The 24985-nt window shown below is 36.4% G+C and overlaps 1 pseudogene; it reads right to left on the bottom strand.

Annotated features, from left to right (window-relative positions):
- ARIH2P1 (ariadne RBR E3 ubiquitin protein ligase 2 pseudogene 1) lies at positions 1611-3811 on the bottom strand (annotated as a pseudogene).

Here is a 24985-nt window from a genome sequence, read left to right as displayed (position 1 = left end):
GGACCAGATTCCTTATATTTTTGGTGGCATGATTCTGTGAAATGGCTGGTAATTTTTTAATTAGTCCTCTTTTATGTGACCTTAATATCTTACCAAGTGTATTTGAGCTTTATATTGCTATTTCTTACTGTTTTATAGCCATGGCCACTTTCTTTTTCCTTTTTTTTTTTTTAATTATACTTCAAGTTCTGGGTTACATGTGCAGATTGTGCAGTTTTGTTACATAGGTATACACGTACCACGGTGATTTGCTGCACCCATCAACCCTTCACCTACATTAGGTATTTCTCCTAATGTTACCCCTCCCCTACCTCCCCAGTCCCCACAAGCCCTGGTGTGTGATGTTCCCTTTCCTGTGTCCATGTGTTCTCATTGTTCAACTCCCACTTATGAGTGAGAACATGCCGTGTTTGGTTTTCTGATCTTGTGATAGTTAGCTGAGAATGATGGTTTCCAGCTTCATCCATGTCCCTGCAAAGGACATGAACTCATCTTTTTATGGCTGCATAGTATTCCATGGTGTATAGGTGACACATTTTCTTAAACCAGTCTATCACTGATGGACATTTGGGTTGGTTCCAAGTCTTTGCTATTGTGAGTAGTGCCACAATAAACATACATGTGCATGCGTCTTTATCGTAGAATGATTGATAATCCTTTGGGTATATGCCCAGTAATGAGATTGTTGGGTCAAATGGTATTTCTGGTTCTACATCCTTGAGGAATCGCCACACTGTCTTCCACAATGGTTGAACTAATTTACACTCCCACCAACAGTGTAAAAGCGTTCCTATTTTTTCACAACTTTTCCAACATCTGTTTCCTTACTTTTTAATGATCACTATTCTAACTGGCATGAGATGGTATCTCATTGTGGTTTGGATTTGCATTTATCTAATGACCAGTGATGATGAGCATTTTTTCATATGTCTGTTGGCTGCATAAATGTCTTCTTTTGAGAAGTGTCCATTCATATCCTTTGCCCATTTTTTGATGGAGTTGTTTGCTTTTTTCTTGTAAATTTGTTTAAGTTCTTTGTAGTTCTAGATATTAGCCCTTTGTCAGATGAATAGATTGCAAAAAGTTTGTCCCATTCTGTAGGTTGCCTACTCACTTTAATGATAGTTTCTTTTGCTGCACGGAAGCTCTTTAGCTTAATTAGATCCCATTTGTCAATTTTGACTTTTGTTGCCATTGCTTTTGGTGTTTTAGACATCAAGTCTTTGCTCATGCCTATGTCCTGAATGGTATTGGCCAGCCTTTCTTCTCAGATCTTCATGGTCCTAGGTTTATGTTTATTTAAGTCTTTGATCCATCTTGAGTCGATTTTTGTATAAGGGGTAAGGAAGGGGTCCAGTTTCAGTTTTCTGCATATGGCTAGCCAGTTTTCCCAACACCATTTATTAAATGGGGAATCAATTAATTTGATTCATTAGGACCAGATTCCTTATATTTTTGGTGGCATTATACTGTGAAATGGTTGGTAATTTTTTAATTAGTCCTGTTTTATGGGACCTTAATATCCTGCCAAGTGTACTTGAGCTTTATATTGCTATTTCTTACTCTTTTATAGCCATGGCTACTTTCTTTTTCTTTTCTTTTTTTTTTTTACACTCCAATGCCAATTTATTTTCAAAAAGGGCTCTGTGTTATCCTATAGTTTGCCTTTTTTTGTATAATTGTACAAACTTTGAAAGTTACATAAGTTGTAATGATCTAATATTATTAATAGCTATCCAAAAAACACTTTCCCTCCCACTCAACAACCATCCAGGGGGAAGTAAAAGTCCTGAAAAGAGACCAGTTCAACATGGCCTCTACCCTGGCAGAAACAAAAAGTGAGAAGAGAAGAAAACAGAAATTAACTAAGAGGTGTTGCCAGTGTCTCTCAGGAGTGGGGCCCTGGCTGTCGCCAGGGGTCATGAAAGGCAGAGCCTGCAGCATGTAGTAGGGCAGCCAGGAGACCTTGCAGCCTTATCTTCCTCACCCCCGCACATCCACATCCCAACTTAGGTGTCATGGAAATCCTTCAGCAGGGTTCTCCTCCACTGCTCGGCTACATGCATCTGGTTCTCCAAGTCCCCTCTGTCATAGCTGTCTGCATGTTCCACTTTCCATGAGAGGTTTTCAATTTCAGCCTCCTGCTCAGCCTGCTGGTATTCAAACAGCTCATTCCTGGGTCCAGACTCCATGTAATATGTATATGGGTTGATGTACTGCAGGGTGTATCAACACCTGGCCAAGAGCTTGGCTGCACTCTGTAGGTACTGCCAGTCAATCCATGTCCCCAGATTGTTCATGACCCTCTCCTGAATCTTCTCATGAATCTGCTGGTATGTCTGTGCCTCTAGCTGCAAGCTTTTGTTGTGGTTTTCCCACCTCTCAAAGTAGAATAAGTACTTTTTGAGGGCTTCCCTCGCCTGGGCTTGTTGGCGCTGGTTCACAATGTCAGGATTCTCCTTGTAAGTACTGCACTCATATTATTCACTGCCATGTGCCTTCCAATCTCCTAGATATGTCCAGCAGAAGTCGTGTTTACATTTGGAGCATTGCATGTGATTGCAGCCTCCATTCTTCTCAATGCAGATGTTGTATTCGGGACAGTCTTTAGTGTGAGCACTACTGTAGTCGGCTGTTTCAGAGTTGTCTGCACACTTCTTGAGCCATTTTCGGATGGTGATGCGGTCTGTGGGTGCGTGATATATTTGATGACACTTGAAACAGAAGACCTCGTTGCACCGATTGCACTATACTCGGTGAGCTCTAGGCTCCTGTACCCGAACAACCATGAGGCAGTCTGCACCAGGGCACAGCTGGAGCTAGTAATGACTCTTCACATAGTCCCTGAAGAGGTAGCACCTGTATTTCTCTCTCAATTCTTCATTGGGAAGCAATGGAAACACAAAGTCCTCTGGTGTATGGAGTGGGACAGTCCTGAGCCATGCAAGCGACTCCCACACCCACACCATCCTTAACGAGAACTGAGCAGTGCTGCTCCAAGCAGCTACGGCAAAACTGGTGCTGACAGACCAGGGAGAGTAGGTTTTTCTTTCGCGCAAACTGCATACACACTGCACAGAGGTGAGGGGGATGAGATGCGGGAACATGTTTTGATGGATTAGGCTGAACTCGAGCCTCAACGAGCAGTTGAGCAGAATTGGACTTGTATCTGTCCAATCTCTCTGAAACTTGCCAATGGAAATTAACTAATATAAGTTTAGCAACTGAATGAGATACCTTTAGGACAGAGGCTAAGCTGGTCATGTGCTCGTTCAGGGCACCCTCAGATTTCTTGTAGGTCAAGTAAGTGAACTAGTACTCCTCAGGATCAAAGGCATCAGCCCCCTGCTGCTCCACATTGCTGGCTACTCCCAGGTAATAGTCCTCTATGTCCCCAGGGTCTTCATCCTCTTCTTGTTCCTCTTCCTCACAATTTGAGTCATAGTGCTTTTCATTGCTGTCAGACCCCTGGCTATTCATGTCCACGGACATCTTAGCATCCAGCCAAGTTGCAGAAAAGCAGTTGCTTTTTCCGCCTCCCCACAAAACTACCGCTTTCTCAAGTGCATTAGTATTTTTGTTTTCTGTAATTCTTGGAGATCTCTCAGGCAGATGTCACCCAAATATTCTATGTAATATGATTTCCATCGGGAGCTGTGGCTTCATGGCCGCTGAGCCCGGGTTAGCCAGACCAAGTCAGGCCGGGCCAGAGGGATCTGACTGGGGCCCAGCTGCAGCAGAGGTGGAGGCGACGGGCCGACGCTGGTCCAGCCATGGCCACTTTCAATACGTTTAGAAGATAGTGCACACATATTGAGAACTATGTTACACATAAACGTGTCAAAACATGTGTTTACCTTTTATATTCCCTAATTAGTATTTGGAAGGGAAAATGTTCCCAAACATATATTATACTAATAAATTGCATAAGCTGCACATATCACTAATACTCTGAGATTCTGTTTTCTCCACTAAGAAGTTTTAACTTCACAGTTGAAATTCACTGCTTGAAGCTATGTACAATGTGAAAGCTCCATTTAACTAAGATCATTTATGCATATCACTTCTAGATTCTTGGGCATTTTTAAAGTCAAATTATATAGCACTCGTCAATCAATTAACCACAAACTGTTTCTGGATGCATACATTGTGATAAGTCTATGTAGAAAACAAAACAATACAGGGAAGTGAGTCATGCACTAAATCTGGTGAGGAAAATACGCCTAAATAGATAATTATAGTATAACATAATACATCTTACAGAAAAGGTAGATACCAGGTATTTTAAAGTTCAAAGTTTGAAGCTTTTAACCTGCTGAAGTGGAAGGAGAGATTCTTGGGAAAGCTTTACAGAAAAAGAAGACATTTTAGCTGAGTTAAAAAGAGTAACTGTAGTTTATTTGACAGCAAAGAGGTGAGAAAGAAGAAATTCTGGGCAGAAGGATAGCCTATGGAACAGCAAAAAGGCATAGAGGATAAAGACATAGCTGTGGAGGAGAAAGATGTGAATTTTATTCTAGCGTTGTCTGTTTATTCTTCTTGCCACATTGGGCAGCTTATGTAGCCTCTCAAATGCCCTATTTTTTCTTTTTAAAATGAGGATAATGATTATACCTCCCTCTTAAAGTTGAGCAAAAAATAAATGAGATAAAAATGTAAAATATTTGATACATTCTCTCTTATAATTCTAGTGTGAAAATACTCCTTTCATTTCTCATGGAGGCACTGGACCATGTAATGTAAGTGGAAAAACTACAGGGTAGTTGAGTATAGCATGGGTCGTGTGAGAAATGAGTGCAAGAATGGTAACATTCGTTTGGATGTTTGTGGTAATGGATAGGAATACCTGTGAAAGACTTCAAGCAGGGAAGAGATGTGATCAGATTTTTGTTCTAGCTATCTAACATTGCTGGCAGTGTGAAAAAAGAATAAATGAGGCTGGTAAGTAAGGGCAAGGACACTATTGAAATAATGAGGAAAACTAATAAAGGAGGTACACATCAGAGTAGAGTGCGGTAGAATCTTCGAGGAACTTAACGAATGATTGCCCCGGGAAAGAGAAAAGAGGGGCAGGAAGAAGTCAGAGGGAGTTAGTCTAGAAGAACTTCCAAAAGTCGGGCTCTAAAAACTCGGTGAAATAAGAACAGATAATATTACAAGAAAAAAAATACAGTAAACTGCAGACTGTTTTGTTGTTCTAACTACCAGGGCTATAGGAACGCGAGCTGAAAGTGGTTTGTGAAAACTAGAAGCAGAGGGATGACCTCACAGGAGAAGGTGGTCCTGAGTTGAGCTTTACATATAAATAAGGTGCACACTGGAAATAGACAAACACAGTTATTAGATGAATTTACAATATGAACGCACTAAGCTGGATCGACAAAACTTTGTAGTACCATATGTCATCGGGTGCTTTATGTATTTGTTTATATATTTACTTACGTTGCATCAGATTCCATAGAGCAAGGGTCCCCAGCCCTCAGGCGGGAACGGGTACCATGGCCTGTTAAGAACCTGGCCGCAGAGCCAGAGGTGAGTGGCGGGTGAGCCAGCATTACCACCTGAGCTCCACCTCCTATCAGATCAGTGGTGGCATTAGATTGGCATAGGATCGCAAACCCTATTGTGAACTGCACATGCAAGGGATCTGGGTTGTGTGCTCCTTACTAGAATCTAACTAATTAACGCCTGATGACCTGAAGTGGAACAGTTTCATCCTGAAACCATCCCCCCGCCTCAGTCCATGGAAAAATTGTCTTCCATGAAGCCGGTCCCCGGTGCCAAATGAGTTGGGGACGACTGCCATAGAGAACTGAAGACAGCTAGTGGCTTCTATATACCCGATCAATGTTGGAAAGAGTGAAGGTTAACATAAATTATTTTGAGGAAAGGATGCATTAAAATACAATTTCAAATAATACAACACAGCAGTATAAAATTTACCAAAAGTTGGAAAATTACTTGTTTTCTGCAAGTCATTTCGAGCAAAGACACTTGGCACCCGGGAGGTAACAAAGCAGGCCTTTAAACAGATAGGTCTTAGAATAATAATTTTACTTCGTTAATGAGTTCTATCATATTTAAATTAGAATGGTAGATCTATTATTTCAAACAGAATCATCTATAGACACATGATTTTCTGAAGTGTTTTCTGCAGCATGACAGTGGTCATTGAATCACTTTTTACAAGGAGAGTCCTTTTTACTGTTTTTGCTAGTCTTTCGGGTTAAATCTTATTATATTTTTACTAATAGACATCCTACATGGAATATAATACTTAAATGTTGGCTGGGAGTGGTGGCTCATGCCTGTAATCCCAGCACTTTGGGAGGCCAAGGTGGGTGGATTACCTGAGGTCAGGGGTTCAAGACCAGCCTGACCAACATGATGAAACTCTGTCTCTATTAAAATTACAGAAATTAGCCAGGAATGGTGGAAGATGCCTGTAATCCCAGCTACTTGGGAGGCTGAGGCAGGAGAATAGCTTGAACCTGGGAGGCGGAGGTTGCAGCGAGCAGAGATAGCGACATTAAACTCCAGCCTGAGTGACAGAGCAAGACTCTGTCTCAAAAAAAAAAAAGAAGGTAAATGTTAATTGATGAAGTAAACATGCAAGTCAATCAGCAACAATAAAACCAATATGACTTTAGCCTACATTATGAAAAGTGGAAGAATGAGAAGTTCAAATATAATATGATCTATGGTGAAGCAACTAGAGATACTGCACCCAGGCAGAAAAGATTTATAAGGGGACATGATAGTTGTACTCACATATTTAAAATGACTTCATCAGAAATTGGAATTAAATGCTTTATATGACCCCGAAGAATAAAACAAGTTTGTGCTTGAGAGTTATAGATTGGTTTCAGTAAAATATGTGTAAGAACTTTGAACAAATATGAATGAAATGATTTTCATCATGTGATATTCATGTCTATATTTCTGAAAGCTCGAAAAAAGTTGAATGATCGCTTTTCTGGGTTTTGTAGAGGTAACACACTCCAACTTGTTCCAAGGGGCTCCATCACTCACCAGGAAACACCTGACATATGTTACATCCCTTTGGAGCTTCTTATTCATTGTAAAGCTGAAATAATATTACATATCCTGCAGGGGCATTGTGAAGAATATAAATGTTTGGCAAATCAGAAAATGACTAACACTAAATGGGCATTTAACACAGGCTAGTTGAACGTGAATATGAAAGATTCAACTGGGTTTATGAAAAGCACCACAGTTAAAAAATAGCTCAAAGAATAAAGCCGTCAGGTTTAAAAATACCTATTAAAACACTGGGATATAGAGAAATCCATATATGCCTTATTTTATGAAAATCCTTTATGTCTTTCATGAAGCTTTATAGTTATATATACACCGAAAGACACCAGTCTTTCCTCACCACAATAGAAATCTGGAGCAGAAGGAGTATAATATCAATAAACATTAAGTTCACCTGCATACAGGAACAACAATAAAATAAATTAGTTAAATAAGGTAGTAGTTTATTTCTCTCTTAGATAAGAAGAAACTCTGAGAAGATAGTCCAGTTCTGGTGTGGCAGCTCCATATTCTTCAGGGTCCCAGCTTCCTCCCCTCTTGCTGTTCTAACCATCTTTATTGTCCTGCCCCATGCTGCAAAATAAGTGTTCATTTTCCAGTCATAATTTTATGCATTTTGGTCACTGGGAAGGAAAAGGAGGGAATCCAAGAAGCAGATTCAATCATCCATTCCTTAACAGTAGAGACGAGTTTTGAGAAATGCATCTTTAAGTGATTTGGATGTTGTGTGAACATCAGAGAGTGTACTTACACAAACCTAGATGGTATCCATATCTATATCTGTATCTATATCTATATTTAGATCTATACATAGAAATAAGATGCCCCAGCACCATTATTTTCCCTACTTGATCTGCAATGCCAATATCAATGCCATAAATCAGGTTTCTGTATATGCGCATTATAATCTTACTAGCCCACCAGCATATATGTGTTCCCTAGTTGACTGAAACATCCTTATGCAGCACATGGCTGCAGTGTAGACGCAAAATGCTTTCAATGACATCTTATTGGCCAAAACATAGTCATTGATTAGGTCTCTGTGCAAGTGATGCTGGGAAATAAAGATTTTCAGCTGGATGGCAAAATGTCCACTGAAAAATTGAAGTTCTTATTGGAACGAATGGCCAAAGAATATTGGATTGGCACCTCTGCCACAGGTGGATGTACTCAAATATAGAATTTTCTTTAGGAAGTAATTTTATACCTGAACAAATGTAGGCTTTAATTCCCAGAGATTCATATGAGTATAGCCAAAATTATTTTCCCCTGAAAAACATTTTTAAAAAAGTGACCACCAATCCAAGAACATGCTAGAAAATGTCAAAAGACATTTTCTCAGTTTATCTGATACTCAGAAATATGATTTCCCACCATACCCACTAAGATTAACTAACTTTAAATATCACACTCTAACCTTGAAAACAAAATTTATTAACTTGTGGAATTATTAGTTACACATCATTTGGAAACTTAGAAACTAAGTATTAATTTTAATTTTCCTAGTTTTAGAATAGTAAGGTTTTTTATAGCAGTATTAAATAAATAAGATAAAATATTTTTATGTAGTTCATTCCCTACTTTAAAGAAAATAATGCTATCACCCTACAGAAGGTATTTATTCTTACATATTTGGTTAGAGGATAATTCACTTCAAAATAATTCCAATAGAAGTGTTTGTAACAAGAAAGATGATCCAAGATACAGGATCATTTCACAGGGATCAAGATAGCTATCCTATATATACGGGTGACGTTTCTTCTTACTGTGACTCTTTTATTAAGTGTTTAAGTTACAATGAAGCCATATTTATGCTTATAAATAAAAAATTAAGTTTTGGCTGTATACTCAAAAAGTAACGGTTATGAAACAAAAGAAAATATTTTACTTTGTTTTAAAAATTTCAAATAATTCAGTTAAAGAGATTTTTTAAAATAATTAATAAGTATAGAAGATATCACTCACCTAAAATTTATTAATTATGAAGCTGGCAAGTATTGATTTTTTCTTTATGTAATACTTCATGAATTAATTTTACAAACAGATTTATGATATACTATTATTTCTCCTAATACATTTCAAGAAATATTTATAATATAAAAAAATTTTATTTAAAATTATAAACATTTTTAACCTCATTCAAACTACCAAGGTAAACTAATGAGGTAACCATCAACATTGATGCATAAATAATTTTTTAATTATCTGTCCAGTTCTCTCCTTTATTACACATTTATTTCAATTTATTTGAAATAGAAATTTTCATAGTATAAAAAGGCACTGGAAACATATCCATTACCTGAGATATGAAAATATCTAAGAATAAAAGTATATTTTAAAAGAAGCTTTAGAAACATGCTTAACATAATATAACTGGATGTTAAATCTGCATTGAATTCAATCATTAGAAAATGATGAAGTTCTAAAATTACCTATATTGTCATTTGCTTAAAAATGTTGGAGAATTCTAGCACTCAAAGCTTCTATTCTTTGACTTTAATGTAATAATACAGTGAGAACTTCATTATAATGTAGTGTTCAAAACATATCACCAATTTTTAAAATAAATTCATTTGCTATTAAGCTAACATAACAGTTTATAAACAATTTCAGATGGGAGTTCTTGAAGTTTTTAATGGTAACCATCTTTAACACAGCTCTTTTTGATTTCATTAAAAGTGAATTATGTTTCAGAATCTAAATTCACTAATTGAAATATTTACAATGAACATAAATACACTTTCTTAATTAGAAGCTCGTCATCTCTCAAGACTTCAATAACAGCTCTTAATGTATCTCCCATTCCCTAATCCCCTTCAACCCACAACAAAAAGTGTGATTAATATTGGGAAACAAATTTGGAACATTCTAAAGCAATTTTTATTTGTCAGTGCCAAATTAGCCAAAACAATTTTAACTTATGTAAAATAAGTCCTTTATTCCTATAGGCATCATTATTCTTTCATTGAAATTCTAAACAGAGAAAATAACAATTGCCATGATGTATTGAGCACATACTAGATTTCACTTTCTGTATTACCCACTTTGTTCATATTATTTCACCTTATCATCATAACACCAGTATAAGAAAGCCACTGCTCTTTTGAAACAAAACCTTGGAATGTTATTAAATTGGCTTAAGCTTTTACTACAGATAATTAGTGGCAGAACTGTGATTCAAGACCAAATCTATGATTTTAAATGCTGTTCTCTTGACTATTATTCTCCACTGATTTGCAAATATTTTTGACAAACACAAACAGTAAAAATCAATCATTTAAATGTATTTGCATATTCTGATTTGTAACAAATTTTTTGTTTTATTTTTAATTTTATATTTAATATCTCTGACCATTAGAGACATGTAAGGTATAGGTAAAATAGAAGTAAATATGAACCTGTTTCTCTGGAACTGATTACATTCTACATGGTTAAGACATACTCAATGCTTTCACAAAATATGAAGCACTTAGAAAACATATTACACAAACTAAGAAATATAAATATTCTGTTAATTATTCGAATTGTTCTCATCACAACGTGGCTTCTTTTGACAGATATATCTTGCAGAAACTATACTGTTAGGGGGTTGACTTGTTAACATATCAAGCAGCTGAGAGCTCTAAAAGACAAGAATTGGGTTCCTGGTATGTTAAAAGCAGCATTGCTACCTTCCTTTCCTCATATTGTCTCAGTGTGAACTCTTTGATGTTTGTTGGTATTTGGTAAGTTCTGCTGATATTTGCTAAGGAACCTAGTCATGGCCAAAACTACCCTCCCATCTGCATATTCCCTCATTTGAATTCTTGAGAGAGTGGCACAAGCAAGGAGCAGTGATCATTTGGGAAACATAAGCACAAAGTTATCAACAGTCAAGTGCACAAAATGCTCACTTTACAGCTCTGTAATAAATCTAGATATAACACACAACCTGGACTCAAATGAGGAACATTAAAGCACAATGTATTGAAACTTACCAATAAAATTAACAACTGCTCAGTTTCCTCTTGTTCTCTGTCCTTCTCTCTCACCCTTTTCCTTTCTCCCTCCCTTCTTTCCTTCCTTCTTCTTTCTTCCTTTCTTTTCTTCCATCTTTCTTCCCGCCTTTCCTCTCTTCTTACCTTCCCTCCTTTTTTCTTTCCTCCCTTCCTCCCTCCCCTCCTTCCTTCTTTTCTTCCTTTCTCATTTCTTTCCTTTTTTCTTCTTTTTCCCAGGTGTTAGTAAGTAAAGCAGATATTTCAATATTAACTTTTCTGTTTCTTAATGTTATTCTGCCCTTGGTCTGCTGTTTTCTAGGCATATTTCCTTGAAGATTTCTTTCATTTCCTTTATGTGAATAAATTCCATATCTGTTTTTCTGGTCTTTAAGTCTTTCCTGATGCGTGGTCTAGCATTTCCCCTGCCTTCTTGACACAGCTTATTGACACAGATTATTGTACCCTAAATTCCATATGTTGAAGACTGAAATTGTAACTGTCCACCAAAAATAACTTATCCAATTAACAATACAAAAGATAAATGAAACACAAAGCTGGTCTTGGAAAAAATAAACATAATTGGTAGACCATTAGCTTGATTAATCAAGAAAAGAAGAGGTGATTCGAATCAACTGAATTAGAAATGAAACTGGAGTCATTACAAGCAACACCACAGAAATATAAAAGAACATTTGAGACTGCTATGAACACCTCTAGCACATAAACAAGAAAATACAGAGGAAATGTATAAGTTCCAGGAAACATATAACCCTCCTAGATTAAATTAGGAAGAAATAGAAACACTGAACAGAACAATAACAGGCCATGAGATTAAACCAGTAATTTTAAAATTGCCAACAACAAAAAAAAGTCCAGGGCCAGATGGGCAACGATTCAAAGAAGAATGGGTGCCAATTTTAATGAAACTATTCCGAAAGATTGAGAAGAAGGAAATCCTCCCTAATTCATGAAGCCAGTATCACCCTGATACCAAAATCAGTATAAGGCATAACAAAAAAGGACAACTACAGACCAATATCCCCAATGAACACGGATGTAAAAATTCTCAACAAAATACTATCTAACTGAATCCAATAGCATATCAAAAAGATAATACATTATGATCAAGTGGGCTTCATCCCAGAAATTCAGGAATGGTTTAACACATGCAAGTCAATAAATGTGAAACATCACATTAACAGAATTTTTAAAAAGACGTGATCATTTTGATAGATGCAGAAATAGCATTTAATAAAATCTAGCATTCCTTCAGGATAAAAACAGTCAACAAACTAGGCATAGAAGAGACTTACCTCAAAATAATAAATGCCACATATGACAGACCCACAGCCAACATCATACTGAATGGGAAAAAGTTGAAAGCATTTCTGCTGAGAACTAGAACAAGACAAGGATGCCCATATTTACCACTTCTATTCAACACAGTACTAGAAGTCCTAACCAGAGTAATCATGCAAGAGAAAGAAATGAAAGGCATCAAATTGGAAAAGAGGAAGTCAAACTATTGGTGTTCGCTGATGGTATGACAATATACCTCGAAAACCCTAAAAACTCCTCCAAAAGACTGCCAGATTTGATAAACAAATTCAGTAAAGTCTCAGGTTACAAAATCAATGTACACAAATTAGTAGCCCTGCCATACACCAACAATGACCAAGCTGAGGATAAATTAAGAACTCAACCCCTTTTATAACTGCTGAGAAAACAAAACAAAACAACAACAAAACCCCAGGAATATACTTATCAAGGAGGTGAAAGACCTAGACAAGGAAAACTACAAAACGCGGCTGAAACTTTCTCATTTCTACTGATGTCACCTTTATAGTCACTCATCTGGGTTCAAAACATGAGAGTAATTTCCAATTCATTCTCTTCTCTTCCCTTTTTGAGTCCCACTGATCCCATCCTTATTCAGGTTTACTTTATTTCTTTCCTTGACTAAGAGCATTCCTCTTGGCTGACTTCCCTCCTTTCTGCCCCTCTCTTTCTCAATTCAACTTCCATATTGTCATATTAATCTTTCTAAAATTTAGGTCAAACTACACCATTGAAGAGACTCAAAGAAATTTACTTTTATCTTGTGTTAGTCCTTCTAATATTCCCTGAATTCAGATATAAGAAAATAGTTAATGCTTTCCAAGCTTCCATAATCCAAGCTTTACCTTTTCTGGTCATGCTGTTTCTTCCCTTCTGCATCTCTTCCTTTAAGACCTAACTCAAACCTCACTTCTGCATGATTTTTTTTGTCTGAAACTATAATCTCTATGCTATCTGAACCCCTATATGCATTTATTAAATATGTACCTTATGATGCTTATCATACTCCATTCTATAATTTAGTTATTAAAACGTTTGTCTCATTTTTCTCTTCTCTCTTTCTAAAAACTCTAGGTCTTCATATTTTTTTCTCCATAATGCTTAGTAAAATGGTCGGCAATTAACACATATTTATTAAATTTTATAGAATTATGTACTACATGTATTTTATAGTATTAAAACAGAGTGTAAATAATAGTCTAAATATTAATTTTATTTTTAAGCATGAGAAAAAATTGTATTTATATGATTTAAAAACTAGAGGATACCTTATAGATCAACTATGCAACACTAGCATTCATTATTAAAGAATTTAAGATCCGAAAGTTTGGCTCTCTACCTCAAGACGTGTAACCAACCAGTGGCAGAGTAACTGGAATCCAAGCTTGTTTTCTCCCAAGATAATTATTAATTGGTAAGTAAAACTGCTGATTTGAAACAACTAAAATGCAGAATGGAATGTTAGATGTGTCTACAACTTTCTTTCTCCCTTTTTGTTTATCAAGTGCAATATAAATTTTTCCTATTAAATCATATTCAAGTATTAACAGAGTTTTTGGTAAAAGTGGTAAAATATTGCCAGTTAAAAAAATCTTCTTCATCCAATTTCTACTCAATTTAATAAAAACAGATAGTCAAAGGCACTTTAAATTTAATAAAAAAGAAAGCACAGCCTCTTGTCATAAGCTCCAAAACTTGAGGGCCGCAATAAACACAGTGTTTGGCGAGGCCCCAGGGCACCCAAAATCCATTCCGACCTCTGCATTGGAAGTGGTACATTTATAAAATCCTAGTAAAGTTTATAATACTATAATACTTGAACAAGAACGAGTGGCATGGATATTGTCTTCTTACTTGGAGGAAGTGAAAATCATTTCCAACAGAAAGGCGTTAAATAGCAGAGGCAAATAATTAGGATATGCTTTCTCTGATACTAAAAAAAAAATAGGCTTTAGGGATTATTCCCGAGTTGAGGGGATGACATTAAGTTGCAAGGGTATTCCCCATGGGAACAAGAAGTACTTCCCAGTAGGTGGAGTAAATCCTGGTACAGAATATTTTGCTCATTTTACAAAGTACCACAGACTAGTAGTTCCAAGTGGGTTCTATCCCAGCTCAGCCTTCTTACCATAGGATGGACTACAGCAAAGTCAGTAAAACACAATCACACTCCTTGAACTCTGAGTCAGAGGAGATGACAACTATGCCTCAATAATGATAAAAGGTAAGTAAAACAGAAGTCACTTATATGAAATTGAATTCTTATTTCAAAAGTCTGAAAAAACTTTCAAGTCTGAGCAAGAATTTAAAAAATAAGCATACCAGAGAAATAAACAGAAGCAAAAATGAGAAGGATAAATGAACACATCTGAAAAAAACAAGAAAAAAATACAATCTGGAAAAAAATACAATACAGGGAACAGAAATTGCATTTCTACAACAACTGCACTATAGAAGAACTTAATGAAAACTTACTTTTGATAAAACAAGAGATAAAAAAACAGAACAATAAAAATAAAACCAGAACAATAAAAATAAAACCAGAATAATAAAATGAAAATTTAAATTACAGAGTTAAGAAAACATTAAAATCAAAACAATACTAATACGTACAGTTTTGGGATGCCCCCTAAAATAAGCAACTTCCTGATTAATCACACATAGAGTGAGTTCCACCTCTCACACTCCAGATCTTCCAGTTAATACATAAGTTCACTCTTACATATAAACAGACAGGTGAAGATTTACAGATACTTGAGAAAAATTTTCAACATGAAATGTAGAGACCAACAAAAACAGAATTAAAAAGTCAAGTGAAAGAAACAATGCAGAAAGACAAAGGCATTGAATAGTCATTTCTCCAAAGATGGTAAACAAATACCAAATGAGCATAGGAAAAGATGCTCAACATCACTAATTATTATGGAAATGAAAGTCAAAATCACAATGAGATATCGCCTTGACCCCACTAGGATGGCCATTATCAAAGCAAAACAACAACAACAACAAAAAAACAAAACTCCTGAAAATAACAAGTGTCAGTGAAGATGTGGAGAAATTGGAACTCATTCACTGTCGGTAAAAAATGTGAATGGTTCAGGTGCTATAGAAAACAGTACAGTGGTTCCTAAATAAAATTAAAAATAGAATTACCCCATGGTTCAGCAATTCCACTTCTGGTTATATATCCAAAAGGACTGAATGCAGAGTCTTAAGTAGAGAATTGTATATGCAATGTACACAGCAACATTATTCACAATAGCCAAAATATAAAACAGCCTAGACGTCCATGAGTGGATGAACTGATAAACAAAATGTGGCATATGCAGGCAATGGAATATTATTCAGCCATAAACAGGAAGAAATTCGTGCTACAAGATAGATAGACCATGAGGACATTATGCAAAGTGAAATAAGCCAATCACAAAAAGACAAGTACTGTGTAATGCTACTGCAGTATATAGGGTAGTCAAATTCATAGAACCAGATGGTAGAATGGTGGTTTCTGGAGGCTTGGGGAAGAGAGAAATGGGGGCTTGCTGTTTAATGGGTATAGAGTTTCAGTTTTACAATAATAAAAAGTTCTGGAGATTAGTTGTACAGCAATGTAAATATACTTAACACTACTGAACTGCGCACTTAAAAATGATTAGGACAGTAAATTTTATGTTACTGGTATTTTATCACAAAAAAGACGGATTCGAGAAAATATATTTCCTCAATGAGCCAGAACTCAAATCTAGAAAAAAGGAATGTTTGGAAAGCAAGAAAGAGATTTTGAAAATCAAATGTTTGATGGCAAAAATAATAATTCAACAAAAGGATGGGAAAATAAAATTGAGGAAATCTCCAGGGAGAACAAAAAAGACAAGATTAAAAATGTTAAAAATTTAAAAAAAAATCAGCCTAGTATTCAGATTTTCAGAAAACGTGAGTTACGGAAAGAGAAAACAGAAAGGAGCAAACTGTCAGAGAAATAGTTCATTAAATCTTATCAAACCAAAGAATACGAAATTTCAGAATGAAAATCTCCATAAAGTAGACAACAAACTGAGAGGAAAAAGACTCACAATTAGGCGCCTGTAGTCCCAGCTACTCGGGAGGCTGAGGCAGGAGAATGGCGTGAACCCGCCAGGCGGAGCTTGCAGTTCGCGCCACTGCACTCCAGCCGGGGCGACGGAGCGAGACTCCGCCTCAAACAAAAAAAAAAAAAAAAAAAAAAAAGACTCACAATTAGGTGAAAGTTTTACAAAACTTTAGAACCCTTGGGATAAAGGGAAGATTTTAATTGCTTTAAGAAAGTGAAGAGGAGAAAAACAAGTAACCAAGAAAAAAAATCAGGATATGGAAATTTAATGGACTTTTTGTCAGAATCACTGCAGTCTATAGCAACGAAGTAGTGCCTTTAAAATTGTGAGAAAACATGGTCTTCACCTAGAATTTTCCATACAGAGTGTCAACCAAGTGTGAAGGATGGATAATGAAATTATCAGATAGGTCAGGTGTCAAAAAATTTCCCTTGATATACTACCAGGAAAAAGCAACTGGAAGATGAGTGCATTTAATATAATTTATTTACTGGAGTTACAATAATTATACTAAAGAAGAAGGAGACACATAATGCAGATAATACAGAATCCAACTGAGTGGATGCACAAACAGACCGAAAGGAACATGGTGAGGGAAAACCTAAGATAATAATTGTGAAGCAAGCCTAGAGAACAATCAGTCCAAATAGAAGCGGAAGAGTGTTGGCCTCCAGGGGGCATGTTGCCAAGAAGATAATGATTATAATAGAGTAACTGATGTATTTCTGTGGACTTTCTAGATCATCAGTAATGTCAATGAACTTAGTGATTAATGAATTATGCAGGAAATGGAGCAAATAAAAGAAAATCAAGGCAGTCATTAATTCCAGGACAAATGAAACATTGCACAAGTAAAGGCTTTGTAATTGTAGTTCAATACCTCTCTTAGCTGTAAATAATATTTACAATGTAATGAAGTGATGACTACTAAAAATGCACTCAACCCAAAAGAATGATACATAAACAACATTAGGAACATCAGAAGAGGATAAGCCCTGACCCTCCCCCCCAAAAAATATATGAGTGTATTTCATGATAGAAAGCTATGAAGTCATATCTAAAACAGAAAGACCAAGAGATGATATAGGAATGCTATTTATAAATATAGAGGCAATTAGCAGAAAAAACTGTTCAATGGGTTTAGAGTAAGGCCTCAATAGATTAGAAATCAGTAAAGGGGGCAATAGGAAGCTCAATGCTTTCATCGTAGGCTTTTATAGTACAACTATTTGACTTTTAAAATTATATACGTGGAAAATTTTATTTAAGTAAACAAAAAAAATTTAAAGATTTTTCATGTCTCTAGAAAAAAAACAAGTCGCACTGATGGGCAGAAGAAAGGCTAAAGTCTGCAAAGGATTAAGGAATAAAATCGTGGCTTAAGACCAGTGTACAACCAAGTCATGAATCCATTTAAGTAAACAATCAGGCATTTTTAAATACTCTAACCTATGGGCAATTCACCATCTATGGGAGTTTTCTTTTGAAATACATAAATGTAGTAAAACCATTCGAACATAAAATTTAGCCAAAGAAAAGATACATGTAAAAAGAGAAAAAAATGTAGATATTATATTTATGAAACAGAATACAAATGTAAAATTTGACAATTAAAATAAAATCCAACTTTAAAAAATTGAAATTATTGGAGTGAAGGTGGGAGAATTTGTAAGAGGTGTATTAAATATTTTACAAAACCTATCTAAAATTAAAATATGTGCTCCAAAAAATAGAGCACAGTGATTCCGATCTTTTGGTCTTTCTTTCATAGTTTTTCCATAAATTTAGAGGGAACTATAGTAAATATTTATCAAAATATTTACTATTTATTCAGATGCTTTGTTATTTTTATAATCAAGTCAAAATAAGTTGAACAATCTTATTGGATTGGCATTCATAGTACAATCCTGTTTTATAACATTTTATCTCCCTATCAAACAATATTTTTATCTGTACACCCTTCTCTGCATTTGTGCAGCAGAGAAAGACATCTGAATGTTGTTATCTTAGTGTTAACATGGTTATTTTGAAGGTGCTGTTTATTTTCTTCTTTATAGTCTAGTTAGTTGTTTGAGTTCTCTAAAATGAGGCTGAATCATATAACTGTTTCTTTAAAAAAAGATGAAGAAAATTGTAAAATATCTAGTAACCAAAAAATTCTGTCAAAGGAAAAGAGGAAACACAAATACCCATTAACGTCAATGAGGAGATCCCAGTCCAAGTTTTCCATTACACTGATTGGCAGAAGTTTTCCAGAAGATCTGGAATCCATGACTATCTAACGAAGCTTTCCCACCCCAGGTGTTTATTTTCAGTTTTACCACCATGTCCTTCCTCTACATGACAGCAAACTTTGTAAGTCTGACAGAACATCATGTCTCTCTCTGTGCACTTTGAATCCCATTTTCTCAAGATGGTTTAACCTCATTTTCCCCTTAATCAGTTTCTAGGTTTTTCTTATAAGGCTAAATCTGACTAGAATGTGCCAGATGCTTTAAATGTGTCCATGACAATTTATTTATTTATTCAGACAAGCTCATTTTGCCCTTTACACTTCACTGTATATTTGTCCTATTCTTTCCTGGCGTAAATTAAAGATAAAATCTTAAGATCCTCACTGATTGAACAGATTTCCTCTTGGCCAAGGGGATCCCAGGAAAATCTTAAAAACTGAATTTCTAGACACAACAAGATGGAAGATCAGACATGCCTCATTATATCCCCCTCCCTTTTGCTGTTTAGACACAACAACTGTATTAATGTTAAAATGGAGATCATAAGACTGACAGAATGGACTGTTTGTGACAATAAAGTACTAAATTATAACCAGGACCTAAGCCATTCCAAGCAATGATTTAAGTCATGCCCAACTATGCTTAAAAAATATGCTATGTTCTAACTGCCACAATGTTCCTTTTTCTCTAGGAGCTAAACAAGCACAGGCCTTTAGATTACCAATTGAAGCAATTGCAGGTCACCAACCATCAGACACTGACTAATTGAGTCTCCCACCCCTATCTCCTTGACAACCACCTCACTCCTCACTCCTGTTCCACCAACCATAGCTACAGCTTTGATTAGACAAGAGACTGGTTTCTGTAACTTTCTCCTGATAAGACCACCAGTGATGGGCTAGTTCTGGCCAGTTTACAGAGGCTGTGCAATGAGTGCCTTGGTATCCTGAAAAGACCTTTTGACTTACAGAACCTAAATATAATGAATTTAAATGTTAAGTTTCCACCCCAAGGTGAACATAAGTCATATGTTACATACATATTTGTTCACTACGCATGTGTCAGGACCACCTTCATGAATATTCATAACTCCTCCTTAACTCATTGAATATATATGTTTAGCCAACCTTTTCAGCAGAAAGCTCCTACCTAAATCCCTTCACTTTCCAAGTGCCTGGTAATGGTTTCAGCCTGAAGCACACTTCCCAGCCTGTCAGAATGGCCACCTTGCAGGCTGTAATACTTAATGAGAAAAATGTCTCCTTTTCCAAATTTATAAAGACCTTGTGATTTTTAAGTTAACACTGGATTGCTGTCTCCCAGCCCACACCCTACTCTTGTCATATTGGCCACACTTCACTGCTGATTGTGCCCTAAAAATCCCCGTGCTCTGATGAGCAGGTTGATCTGCTTCTCAGCATGTACCACAGACTTGGTTCTGGCATGTATCCTGTTTCTATGCACTGGAGAAGCTGAACAGCTCCACGTCCCTCCTCACTATGCCCCCTCTGGTGTAAGGCAATGTGGCGATTTTTGAGAGGTCTGTGTGGCAGTTACACATCAAATAAAATGTTATTCAAAAGACTGTCTGTAGAATTAATAATCAAAGACAAAAGCAGTAGCTAAGAAAAAAAAGTAAAGCAGGCACCCAGATGTAAAGACGGTGAACCATCAGAGTGAAAACTCATAAATAGAAGATAAGTGGATAAGTCTCTCTCCTAATGAGGGAGATGGGAAAAAAATAGAATGACAAATGATTTCTAAAGTGGTTAAGATCCAGGTGGTTAAGAATCTAAATTGGGGGATTGTTTTAAGCAGGCCAATGCTAAAAGGAGTTAAATCTGTACTTGTAGGAGTGCAGATTATTTCATGCATTTAGGGCTGTGTGAACCAGCTTTAGGTACACTCCGGGTATTGCTGAAGTTTCTGGGATCCTTATCTAGAACCAGCTCTGATATCTGGTGTAAATGCTAAAATGCACAAGATATCTGTTATAGATATACATGTTGCAATAATCTAATGCTTAACCTTCACTCTCCATCCCGATAGATAGGATCTCAGAGCCCTGTGCCATCCAAGATGGGGCAGCTAAAGGTTAAATTCCAACTCCTGTATTTGGCTTATTCTTTTAGGACACGTAATGTACCCATTTAGAAAATTCTAGAGAAGAACAATACTCTTCTCAACCCTGTTCTCTAGCTGGACCCAACTACAAGTATGGCTGCTATAAGGACCAGAATATGTACCTTTCACAGACTTTGGTTCTGTTCCCAGTTGGTTTTTGACACTGAAAGTGGCACATCAGAGCTCCTTCTCTAAAAAGGGGCTTTAGTCAATGTCTATGGCATGCAGTTTCAAGAAAGTTATCTCTTGTGTGTGCTGCTTAGGCTCTGTCCTGCTGTCCCAGAATGTTTGCTTTTTGCCTGGGAGACGAGTGAGAGCTGTATTAGCTTGGCAATCCTGCCATTATTTAGCTTAGTGGTTAAGAGTATAAGCTCCAAAATCAAGCTCAGAAATTAGATGGACTCTACTACTCACTGCCTGTGTGAACATGGGTAAATTTCTTAAATTCTCTGTGCCTGTTTTCTTGTCTGTAAAATGGAGCTAATTATACTACCAATTTTTATATATGAAAGTACGTTAAATTAGAAAGTTGCACAGAGACAAATGGAGTTGCAATCAAAAAGATTCAGCAGGAGGATCACAGAAAATCCACAAGTACCCTATGAAAGAGTCAGCTTTAAATATCAGTCAGTCTCAAAGATCATGAAGACAATACTGGGGAAGTAAGAATTGTCATAAACTCCTTACCTCTCCTCCTTACCCTCTACCCAATCCAACCAAGGAGGGATCCAAAAACATACTAAGGAGAAATGGAGATAAAGGAGAATCAGAGGAAAATCCAATTATATTTCTCTCCCCTTAGTTAAGAGAGGAGGGGCCTTAACTTGCATTGAGTAATGAAGTGTTTATTAATATATCAAAATGCCATTCTAATAGAGACTAGTATCTTGAAGCAAAAAATAACTATATGATGTTATTACCTAAAATCCATCAGAAAAATTGTGTGACTTCCTAAGTTTGCATTCAGTGACTGGAGTGACACCACCTCCATAGAAGATGTAAATGGACTGTGAGGTTGAAAATACAGGTGGGTTCTGGTTTCTCCCCATGGGTCATGCTTATTCTATACATGGAAGATTGTTGTGAAGATTAAATTAATTGACACATATGAGTTGTTTAGGATAGCACCGGGCACCTGTGGGAGCTCAGAAAGCTGACCAATAAAGTCATCATCATCATCATCATCATCAATAGCAGCTAAAATTTATCATAACAGATCATGTCTATTTTATGCATTACAAAGCTTAGTTTAAAAAGTCCCTTACAACTTTGCTCCTCATCAAAGTCCCTCTGGGCAAAGTCAACCAAACAAACAAAAAACATTAGTATAAATTTTCCTACTTTCCATTAAATTCAAAGATGTCTTTCTCTCTTTTCCTTTTAGTTCATATTCATGATTGAATCTTGGTTCTGCCACCTCTGAGTTAAGAGAGATTTTAATTGGGTCATTTTACCTCTCAGAACCTCAGATTTCTTTTCTGTAAAATGAATCTGTTAACACCTACCTTTACAGGGGATGTGGGAATATTTGAGCTACTGTATTTTAAGTGTATGCTGCCTACTAAAATACTGGTGTTCTAATGCGCTAAAAGGACCCAGGGAGACATGGCCCTTCTGAACCTATCTCCCATGCTCCTTCTGCCCTAGCCACAGAGAAAGTTGAATCATGTCAATCTTCTGCTCAACACTTTCTGATGTTTTTTTGTTTTACTCTAAGTAAAGGCCACAGTTTTTATAGTGATCTATGAGATCCCATAGGATATGCCTTTGGATCACATGATCTCCCATTATAATTACTCCATATATGGAAGTTCAATTCCCTTGTCCCCTCTCTTCATGGCACTAGCCAAGTAAACTTCAACCCTAGGGAAACCAGCTTTCAATTTATTCCTTGACAGTACCTGAACAGTTAAACATGACTGAAGAAAAACACTCTGATGCTGACTGGAGCACAAACCTCAAATGGCTATTCCCAGCATTCTTTATAGAGGTCCTCTAGTCAATTTTCTTTCCCTTTCTCTAAATATCTCTTCCACATTTCTCATCTCTCCTCAAACCATCAACATCTGACTCCTCATCACTCTCAGACGGCAAAAATGAAGCTCCTTACACTTCTCACCATCAAATCTAACAGCCTGTATGTATGTATTGATGAACATTGACAGGTTTTTTCATTATAACAGATGAATCGCTCATGTTCTAAAACCCACCATTCTATGGGCTTCCATCCACTCTCACTTTCTCAAGGACTTTGCCCCAGTAATTATCCTCAATTTCCTCTGCATCACCTACATCAGTGCAAATGCATACTGCAATTTCTCTGATATTAAACAAAAAGTCTCTGATACCATATCTCTATGTAGCTCTGAAATAGATCTGCATTGCTCCACAGAAAAAAAAAATTCCTCACAAGAACTGTTTGTACAGTTTCCAAATTCTCATCTCCCATTCTTCCATGATTTTAATCTAATCAGGCTTTTGTCTCCAAAACCCCACAGAAAACACTTTCTTCAAGGTCACTAATACCTTCATATTTGAAAATGCAATAGTCAATGTTTTAAGGTGGTTTAATTTTTTTTTCTTTTTCTTTTTTTTGAGTCAGGGTCTTGTGGTGTCACCTAGGCTGGAGTGCAGTGACATCAACACAGCTCACTGGAGGGTTACTTGTACATGAAATTCAATGTGAATGTTTACGACACAGTGACCTTGGCATAATTTTATAGAAATTAATTTTAGGGTCAATATTATTCTATGTTTCATCTATTCTGTGTTTCATTCAATATCATTCTGCTGTTACCTGTAACTAGGTATGATTCATTTATTTCACTACTAAACAATATTTTTCCACGTGAATATATCTGTTTTTTTAATTGACTGCATTTTTCTTGTTTTTCTCTTAAAGATATGTCTAAATCTCTACTAACCTTCCTTGTATGTGATTCCCAGTGTATAGGTACAATATTTTCTCCTGGGTGTATATAAGGAGTTTGAATCTGTGACTATTTGACGTGTGAATATTTACCCACACAAAGGAATGTTAAAATATTTTAAAGTGTTTACCTACAACAATTTATAAGAATCTTTTTAAATCCACATTTTCTCCAACATTTCATAGCATCACACTTACCAATGTTTGCAAATAGAATGGGTATGAAATGGTGCCTATGCACAGTCCAAATTTATGTTTCTCTAATCTCAAATAAGGTAGAACATCTCTCCACATGATTACTGGCCTGTATTAGTTTGTTTTCACACTGCTATAAAGATACTACCTGAGACTGCGTAATTTATAAACAAAAGAGGTTTAATGGACTCAAAGTTCCACATGGTGGAGGGTGGAGGGGAAGCAGGCACCTTCTTCACAAGATGGCAGGAGAGAGAGAGCACAAGTGAAAACTGCCACTTTTAAAACCATCAGATCTCCTGAGAACTCCCTCACTATCATGAGAACAGCATGGGGAAAGCCACTCCATGATCCAGTCACCTCTCATCAGGTACCTCTTTAAAACATGGGGATTACAATTCCAGATAAGATTCGAGTGGGAATGCAGAGCCAAACAATATCATGGCCAAATGCTATTTACTTTCTGTAAAACTCATGTTCACGTCTTTTGCCCATTTTTCTTTTTTTTTTTTATTTTTCTTTTCTTTTCATTTTTTATTATACTTTAACTTCTAGGGTACATGTGCACAACTTGCAGGTTTGTTACATAGGTATATAAGTGCCATGTTGGTTTGCTGCACCCATTAACTCATCATTTACATTAGGTATATCTCCTAATGCTATCCCTCCCCCTGCCCCCCACCCCATGACATGCCCTGGTGTGTGGTGTTCCCAGCCCTGTGTCCAAGTGTTCTCATTGTTCAGTTCCCACCTATGAGTGAGAACATGCAGTGTTTGGTTTTCTGTCATTGTGATAGTTTGCTCAGAATGATGGTTTCCAGCTTCATCCATGTCCCTGCAAAGGACATGAAGTCATTCCTTTTTATGGTTGCATAGTATTCCATGGTGTATATGTGCCACATTTTCTTAATCCAGTCTATCATTGATGGACATTTGGATTGGTTCCAAGTCTTTGCTACTGTGAATAGTGCCACAATAAACATATGTGTGCATGTGTCTTTATAGTAGCATGATTTATAATCCTTTGGGTATATACCCAGT

Source organism: Homo sapiens, chromosome 18 (genome assembly GCF_000001405.40).
Source record: "Homo sapiens chromosome 18, GRCh38.p14 Primary Assembly".
Taxonomy (NCBI): Eukaryota; Metazoa; Chordata; class Mammalia; order Primates; family Hominidae; genus Homo; species Homo sapiens.
Note: the sequence above shows the minus strand (reverse complement) of the source record. Positions and strands in the feature narration are given on the sequence as shown.